Below are 10,106 nucleotides of genomic sequence, written 5' to 3'. Positions count from 1 at the left end.
AAATTAGATATGTGTAAGCTTGATGCTTGGTCAGGGTTGGGGAGAGAGATTTGAGGATCAGTCATGTGTAGGTGGTAACAAAAAACAAAAAAAGTGGAAGAGGTTGCCGGGAGATTGCACCAGGAGAAAAGAGAAGCCCAGAGCTTCCTGGGAGCACAGGCATCAGAGAGGCAGGTCAGAGGAGCCAGCAAAGGAGCTGATAGAGACCAGAGAGGAGTGGAAGAACACTGAGAAAAAGTGGCATCTTAGAAAGCAAATGGAAAGAGGGTTTTAAGAGAAAGGAATTTTCAACAGTATTGGATTCGTCAGAAAGTATATGTATTAGTCTGTTCTCACACTGCTAATAAAGACATACCTGAGACTGGGTAATTTATAAAGGAAAGACATTTCATGGACTCACAGTTCCACATGGCTGGGGAGGCCTCACAATCAAGGCAGAAGTCAAAGGAGGAGCAAAGTCACGTCTTGCATGGAAACAGGCAAGAGAGAGAGCATGTGCAGGGGAACTCTCCTTTATAAAACCATCAGATCTCGTGAGACTTATTCATTATCATGAGAACAACATGGTAAAGACCCCACCCTCATGATTCAGTTACCTCCCACCAGGTCCCTTCCACGACACGTGGGTATTACAGGAGCTACAATATGAGATTTGGGTGGGGACACAGCCAAACCTTATCAGTGTAGACTTAAAATATTAGCACTTAATATAGTTTATTGAATTTGACAAATATGACCTTAAATGACCCCAGAAAACGCAGTTTCAGTGTGCATGTGAGTGTGGCAGATGTGGGTAGAGTAGAAACAATAAGCCATTATTTTGAGGACCTTAGTTGCCAAAGGAAGGAAAGTGATAGGGCAGGAACACAATTTAGCATGGGCTAAAAAGAGAATATGGTGAGACGTGAGCATAGTGTTCTTACAGGGAAGGAACCAACCAGTGGATACTGAATGGATAAATACAGAAAGATGGGAGTCAGATAGGGAGGGAAATGGGAGAAGGAGGACTGTTATGGGGAGACAGGCAGGAAATATGAGGGCAAAGATCAAGAAGGAGGAAGGAGACAGGAAGGAGAGGAGGAAGAGGTGGAGAAAGTAAAGGGAGATGGCAGGCAGAGTAACTGATGACTAATGGAGATGCAAGGGTGACTGTTCAAAAGCTCAGCAGAGGAATAACCCTTGGAAAAACCCTTTCTCTGTGATTAGTGCAAAAGTGGTTGGGCTGGATGCAGAATAGGCAAATTTGTTTCGATGAGTATGAAAAACTGTGGAATTTCTCACCTGCTAAAGTGAAAGAATTATCTCTGTGAAAGAGGCATCTTGGTCATGAGGCTCTGGGGCTGCCCTGGGGAAATTGGTTTGAGAAGAGTGGCAAAATTTTAGAAAACTTGCTGAGGAGGATGGGAAAAGGACAAAATAGGAGAAGCCAAATATTTCGGAGGAGTAATGACAGCCCAAGTGAGGTTGAGTTCCATGATTCTACTGTGGCACTGATATGAACGATGCACAGTGCAGTGAAGGAGATGCTTTTCTTGAGCCGAGGTTGTAAGATAGGGTAACATCGTGGGGCTGGGTGATTCAGCCATGTGAGTGGTGATCGTGGTGGTTGGGGTGGTGGTGATGGGTTGTTGGTTGTTGGTGGTGATGGTGGTGTTTTTCATTTTTAAAGAAATTTTGTTGGTGGTATTAGACAACAGTTGCCAGTTATTGGTAGTAATGATCATAAAAGAGTTGCTGATTACACAAAATGTGTAAGGTGGTTGGAGTCAACAAGATTAATGAATTCAGTTAGATAATAAGGTGACTAAGTAAACCAATTGCATCCGTTCTGCACAGCTAATAAAGAATAGCCAGGCTTTGTGCTCTCAATTTCTAGGCTAACTTTGATCCCAGAGAGCTAAAACAGTCTTTCTGTGGACAAAAGCCTAACAAAGAAAAGCAGAGAGGTGGGACTAAACCATCCTAAAGATGAATCTTATACAGATCCTTGTTTTCCAAGATCTAGACCTCTTAAAGAATTAATATAGTTTGTCCCAGAGGAGAGGGGTTCGAGGCTTGCTTCTTAGGGGGAAGAAGATGGAAGGGCCCCCACCAACTCAGAGATTGCCAGATCTGAAGACTTAGGTCAAAGAGAAGGGTGACAGGACCCAGAAAGTACATAGGCAACTCGGTCAGCTTAGCTATAGTCTCTGGAGCTCTGGTAAGAATTCCAGTGGCTGAGCTTGGCACAGGGAAATGAAGCCAGAGGGGCAAGGAAGAGGCAACTGCCTTAGGATGAAGGCCAGTGCACGCCATCATTTTTCTGAGCTTCACTTTAAAAAAAGAAAATTAAATAGTAAAATATCTACTATAATTTCTGTTGTTTTACTTGCTTTTAATTACCTTTCATAAATAATTGAAATAATCTCAGACAATATTACTCACATAGTCATATTTGATACATAATATTTTGATTCATGGGTATTCGAAGCTGCCTAAGAAATAAGCCATATGTCCTTAGTTTTATTTTATAACCAAGAAATATGTGTAAAATGAAACCCCAGCTCATCCCTGACCTCCATCTGCATCTGCAGGGTTGGTGGTGGGAAGGAGGTGATATATGCACTTTCACTTTGCTCCATCAAACAGGAGGTCCACATTCCCACCCCCGTATCTGCAGACTGGTGGTGTCAGATGTCTAGGTTAACATTACTTTGGGCTTTGAAATAATCTTATTTTTGGTATTATATTGTTGCAATATTTTAGTTTTAGGTGGATTAAGAAGTATGGCCTGTGTTATTAAGAAATTTATGTATGTAGATTTTTCTATTTTATTAGAATTAACATTTTAATTTACTAATGAGCTTTAGAAACTGTTAAAATAAAAGTCTTCATCAAAACGCTACAAAGAACAGTTAGTGCTATTCTATGTAAATTGCACATAGAGAGATTGAAAAAGACCCCCAAAGACAGGCTATCTAGAAAAAAACTCGCCATTTAATCCAATTAAACAATTAGTTCACTTGATCAGTTTTCATTGTTTTTCAGGAAATTGGCTGAACCTGACAACTGCTTTGGCCTTTTTGTAGATATACCATTATGACGTATAAGATGGAACTTTCTACCTGTTTATCTGCATGCACATCTCAAAATTCTTTCCATTTTTGTGTAGAGATAAATTGTTAATGAGCAAGTATTGTTTTACTTAGTTCTGATTATTAAGGTTAGCAGATAAAGTTGGAGGGAGGAAAATAAGTTATCTGACCGGTTAAGTCTCTACTTAATATTATAAGAAGTTTTTTGATGCTTGAGAAAATCTTATCTAAATCAATATAATTTTACAGTAGAGAAAACAGAAATTTTTAAAATTTAGATATTTTTATTTGTAATGGAAATTTCTGATTCTGATAAAAATTATTTACAGATTTTTATTTGTGAGTGATTTATACCATTTTGTGAATTATTTAAAATGTTTTTACTTACCCTGAAAAATTTGAAAATTAAAAATATATAGAACTGTAAACATTCAACCATAAGAAAACAAACAACCCAACTAAAAAGTGGGCAAAGGCCTGGACAGACACCTCAACAAAGAAGATACACGGATGGAAAGTTATGAAAAGATGCTCAACATCATATAGTACCATCATTAGGGAATCACAAACTGAAACAACAATGAGATACCACTGCATACCTATTAGAATGGTGGAAATACAAAACATTGACACAACAGATGCTGGTAAGGATGTGGAGCAACAGGAACTCTGATTCATTGCTGGTGGAAATGCAGAATGGCACAGCCACTTTGGAAGACAGTTTGCCAGTTTCTTACAAAGCTAAACATAACTATTTCCACGTGGTCCACTAATTGCACTCTTTCATGTTTATCCAAATCAATTGAAAACTTATGTCTACACAAAAGTCTGCACACAAATGTACACAGCAGCTTTATTCCTAATTTCCAAAAATTGGAAACAACCAAGATGTCCTTCAATAGGATACACAAACTCTGGTACATCTATGCAATGGAATATTATTTAATGACAAAAAGAAATGAGCTATCAAGGGATGCAAAGAGGCGGGACAATCTTAAGTGCACATTGCTAAGTAAAAGAAGCCAGTCTGAAAATACCACATACTATATGAATCCAACTATATGTCATTCTGGAAAAGGCTGAACTATGAAGACAGTAAAAGGATCAGTGGTTTCCCAGGATTTGTGGGGAGGAAGGGACAAATAGGCTGAGCACAAGTGTATTTTTATGGAGTGAGACTACTGTATATGACACTGTAGTGGTGGATACAGGACATCTTTAAAAACCCATAGAATGTATAGCACCAAGAGTGAACTGTAATGTAAACTATGGACTTTAATGATAATATATCAACATTAGCTCATCAATTGTAACAAATATACCACACTAATGCACCATGTTAATTAGGGCAAACAATGGGCATGGGAGAGAGGGGTATATGGAAACTCTGTACTTTCTGCTTATTTTTTCTGTAAAATTAAAATTGCTCTAAAAATAGAGCAGTTTAATATTTTAATTAAAAATATAGATAAATTCATGGAATATAAATGGATTATATTAATGGATTTTCACAAAGTAAATACTATAGAATCATTAACTATAGACTAAGCTTAATATAGAAGACTTACTATAGAATAAGCAACTAATTAAAGGAGGTGATCAAAGCTATTGAGCTTGGCATGGTTCTTGATATCCACGGAGAGTAAGAATAAAATATCTTGGCCAGGCGCAGTGGCTCACCCCTGTAATCCCAGCACTTTGGGAGGCCGAGGTGAGTGGATCACCTGAGATCAGGAGTTTGAGACCAGCCTGACCAATATGGTGAAACCCCATCTCTACTAAAAATACAAAAATTAGCCGGGTGTGGTGGCGGGTGCCTGTAATCCCAGCTACTCTGGAAGCTGAGACAGGAGAATCACTTGAACCTGGGAGGCGGAGGTTGCAGTGAGCCGAGACTGTGCCACTGCACTCCAGCCTGGGTGACAGAGGGAGACTCCGTCTGGGGAGAAAAAAAAAAAAAAAAGAATAAAATACCTTGCCTGGATAAGCTTCCAATTTATTTAGGAACAATGAAAATTTTTATTACCACATCTTCTCAATTCTAAGATTTAAAAATATATTTTTTAAGATTAAAAGTATATACATTTACAATTAAAAATATATTATTTAGCATGTCTACAATCGTATGCATTTTACAATCAATGGCATTTTATAATTGGCAACTTTTTTTTCTTAGTGGTACATAAAATATATGACATCCTGGAATTCAATAAAATATGTCTGCTTCTTGTAGTCTCTTAGAAGCGAGCTTTCTCTTCCAACTTAAAGAGAGCTGTTCAAAGATCTGGGAGAGCAGGCTCCTAGTCTTGGCTCTCTCATTAACTGGGTATTGACCCTGGCCATGGCCATTAACTGTTCTGATTCCAAGTTTCATTATCTGTAAAATGGTAGAAGTTAAAAAATCCCTTAGGTTCTCACTAACTCAACATTTGAATCTAGGCCACCTTGGTAGAATAGGGCAGGGAAGGTACTGGGGTAATACAAATGAAATTGAATTGCTCTTCTCTCTCTGTGAAGCACCTGGGCTGTTTCCAAATAGAAAATGCAGCTTAGTGATTGTTGTGAGCAAGAAATGTCCCAGCCAAGCTTAGTGAGGAAATAGCAGCAGAATTGCAGGACTTGGGCTCTGCAATCGCACATTTTATATATTTGGCACCACCTCGGACTTTCATATGAATAGAAACCAAAGACTTTTTAGTTTTTGAAAGTAAAATGCTTCAGATTTGATTTGCCTCTGAATTATACTTAGGAATATGGGAAAATTAGCTAAATCTCCAAGACACCCTCCAACCCTCCATCTGCCTGCTCACCCCCGTGCCTCCTCAACACCTTCTGTGCGCCTATTCCAGCAGCAGTGCCCACTGGCTTTTGTTCTATGGGCATCTCCCCAAGGCTCCAGTCTCTGCATACAGGTCTGTAAGCCACAAACTACCTTCACCACGCAAAGCCACTGTAGACTTTATCCTTCTGAATACTCCATGTAAGCTTGTGAATTACACTCCAAACACAACACAGTAGCTAATGTCATAAGCCAGTGAGCCACATTTAGGGCTGATTTTGAAAGCCTGGGTTTTATGTTTCCAATAGTTGTGATTCGTGAGCAAATTAATAGACCCAGAAGGGCTGCTAATCTTTGCTTCTTGCCTGTATGAGCATGTTGTTAATAACGTAACTATATTATTTGTTAATGATAATCATGTATTTTGTTATGGTAATGAACGATTGTTCTTTCAGATGAACTCCACAAGGTCATTAGTTTAGTCTTTAATTTTGCCTAAATCTGTTCATTAAGTGGCCAGAGTTATCTCTACAAATCAATCAGTTCACCCATCACTGAAACCTAACAGCTGTCTCTGTGACACAGAACTGTTGTTTACTTTGCTGAGATGCTGTCTCCCCACAGTTCTGGCCAGAAATGAAGATGAGTAACATAATGAATAGGCATCAAAAGAGGAAATTTAGGACAATTTAAATTATACCATTTTTGCTTTGCTGAATTGCCCACGTATTGTGTGACACAAAAATTAATACGTGATTTAAAATACCAAAGACATGAAAGCCTGCCATTTGCTTTCTTATCGGAACTTGAGGATAGATACACAGATTTGCCTTCTTCTTCAGCTTATTATTATTATTTTTATAAATCTCATGCTTATGACTATCTTGGTTTTTGGAGGACAATAGATATTGAGGAAAGCTATTTATTTATTATTTCTACTTTCAGATCTCCCACACTCCTAGCCCTTGACAGTTTAAACAGATAAAATATGATCACTCACTTCTCTCTAATTTTCATTCTTTCTTTCCCATCATCTGGTCCATATCCATAATTACTCCCTTAGAATCAGATAATTACAGAGATTTCAATAAGCATGTCATGATATTTGTGCATTCACAACAACCCAAATCAATTTGATAACAGCATGCAATAAATAGGTTAAGCATCAACTAGTAAACTGACTACCAGAATTGCTTCTCCAAGTTTTTTTTCTAGCATGCTTGCACTGAGTAAAATACATAGAAATTACTTTTCAGCAAGGTGGTGGCATGAGGGAAAAAATATTCTTGTTTCTCCTCTCAAATTTTCCCTTAAATGACCAGTAAAATATGCAAATATATTTTTAAAACAGCTGAAAACTAGAGATGAATATCATCCATGCACTATACATTTTGGTTTGGAGGAAAGCTAACCTGATTGTCTGCTTTTCAGAGATCAGAATGTTAAGGAAGTCAGTGAGAAGAAAGCCTTGAAGAGTTCCCTGACAAGTTAGAAAGTTCAAGAACTGGAGGCAGAATTGGGCCCTGAGGCTTTAAGCTCCCTCTTAACATTTCCCACCAACAATATTTGGACTCCACTAGTAAGCCCATAGGTCCCTCATTTACTGCTGTTTTATGGGGCCTAGGAAGTAGAGAGCAGATATAGTTCAAATTTGCTCCTTAAAACTCAGGAGACTACGAGGAGAAAAATGGCAGGGACTTCTCTCTAGTGACCTGAGAATATTGGTGGCATAGACAAATGTGCACTAAAGGAGAATCTATCATTAATGTTCTCTATTCCATGCCGCAGGCTATTAGATAATGAAAATGGTTTGAGTCTGTAGACTGTCCAGTAAATAGTTTGGACTGGGACTGAAATAATTCATCCTAATTCCTGTTTGACTCAAAATTTCACCATGAGATGAGTTAAACTGAAATATTGTAGGATCTATGAAAATATGCAGTTCACATAAAATGGATCACTGAAAAATAATTATATCCACTGCCTTCTTCTGAAGAAGAGTGTCTGCCTGATTGAGAAAAGAAATTCTGACTCCTAACAAAATGATGAACTCATTGCATGTATGGTTTTACAATAAGTATTGGTGGAGTGAAGATGTGTTTAGGACAGGAAGGATTACATGGAGATGAAAAACACAAATATTGAAAAACAAAAGGTGGTTAGAACATAGGCAAACTAAAAACTATGAATTTATTAATTATAGATAATAGGGAGAGAAACCAAGTTAGTCTTCCATCTCTGATGTAAGAATTAGGAAAAAAAAAAACTATAGAACCTCTGAGGCAGAAACAGTTTCCAAATCACAGTCTATATAGCAGTATGTGAAAAAGACAAGAGCATAGACATTGTTTTCAAAGAGAAAGGAGGCAAAATGTATGATAACTGGCCTAACTTAAACATATCATTTTGACAGTGTAAATGGATTACATTCCATGACTACAGAAAAATTTTCAAATTGGTTAAAAACAAAACCAAATAGCCCCAAATCCCATACTATATTGCTTATAAGAAATAAACCTAAAATAAGGAAAATGAGCTGTTAAAGAAGGTCACAGATTTATTAGATGAACACAACATTTTAAACAGCAGGGACTTTGATATTAGTATACCTATATTCATCCTTTTTAGTACTATTCATTCATTTTCATTATTACGTACCTCCTATGTGCCAGGCAATTTTCTAGGTGCTGGGGATATAACTGAATGAAACAGAGCAAGTTGCAACTCTAATTGAGCTTGCTTTAATGGAGAGATATTAAACAAATAATTACATAATATAAAGTTAAATAATGATACATGCTACAAAGAAAACTAAAAGAGAGAGGGACTGAAGCCAGCTGTTTCAGAAGTGTATGCTTCTCTGAGGACATGACATTTGTTCAGGGACCTGAATGGAATGAAGAAGAGCCGTGTAGTTACTTGGGGTTGCTTCAGCGATGCTCTAGAATTTTACTTCTCAAAGTATGGTCTGTGGTATGTTTGTTCCAGTTAGTGGTGAGGAGGTTGCAATTTCCTCAGAACGCAAACCAGCTCCATCATGAAGGACACTGTTCACTGCAGCTGACATTTTTCTCTTTTATTGCAAGACTTTCTTGACGAAGGAAGCACTGTGTTCATTTGCACTCTGGCTCTTGCTCTTTTTTTGTTTGTTTGTTTGTTTGTTTGTTTTTTGAGACAAAGTCTCGCTCTGTCACCCAGGCTGGAGTGCAGTGGCGCGATCTCGGCTCACTGCAACCTCCGCCTCCTGGGTTCAAGCGATTCTCCTGCCTCCGCCTCCCGAGTAGCTGGGACTACAGGCATGTGCCACCATGCGCGACTAATTTTTTTTTGTATTTTTAGTAGAGACGGGGTTTCACCACATTGGCCACGCTGCTCTTGAACTCCTGACCTCGTGATCCTCCCACCTCGGCTTCCCAAAATACTGGGATTACAGGCATGAGCCACCATGCACGGCCTGGCTCTTGCTTTTCATCTGGTTGCACTTTGAGTAACTCTGATAGACAGAGGGAACAAAGCGCAAAAGCTTGAGGCAAAAGCATAGTCAGCATATCAGGCAAAACAGATCAAGTAGACAAAGTTAATAATATTTGGCTTAACAATAGTCAATCATTAATGAAATAATCGTTTGACTTAGTTAATTGTCTTAATTGTGTAAATAATTAGAAAGAGTCCTTTCAGAGATATTAACATCAAAAATCTGTAAAGATCTCCCTCCCAAAGTCACAACTTCTCTCTCTCTCTCACCTCTCTAATTTCCAACTAGAAATCTCCACTTTGATGTGTAATAAACATGAAAAGCATAATGTGCTCCAAACTCAAGTCCTGATTCTGACCTCCACACCCTGCCCTTCCACACGGTCCTGGTCACCATCTTGGTCCTGGTCACCATCTTCCCTTGCACATATTGTTGCCGTAGATTCCCAAATGGACTCTGTGCTTCTGTCCTTGGTCTTTCCCTAGCCTATTCTCCACACAGAATCAAGAGTAGATCTTTTAAAATGTTATTCAGATCATAGCACTACTACTTAAAACGCTTGTTAGTTTTCCATCTCATTCAGAGTAAAAGCTGAAGTCTTTACGATAGCCCACAAGCCCTGCGTGACCTAGAACACACTGCCTCTCTGATTTTATCTCATATCCCGTGCTTACTATCTTCCAGCCACATCGGCCTCTTTGCTCTTTTGTGAACACCCTGAACGCACATCTCAGGGGCTTTGCGCTTGTTAGTGGTCTCCATGACTGCTTTTAGGTCT

This window comes from Homo sapiens, chromosome 1, assembly GCF_000001405.40.
Source record: "Homo sapiens chromosome 1, GRCh38.p14 Primary Assembly".
Taxonomy (NCBI): Eukaryota; Metazoa; Chordata; class Mammalia; order Primates; family Hominidae; genus Homo; species Homo sapiens.
The sequence above is the reverse complement of the archived record's forward strand: the minus strand, read 5'-3'. Positions refer to the sequence as shown.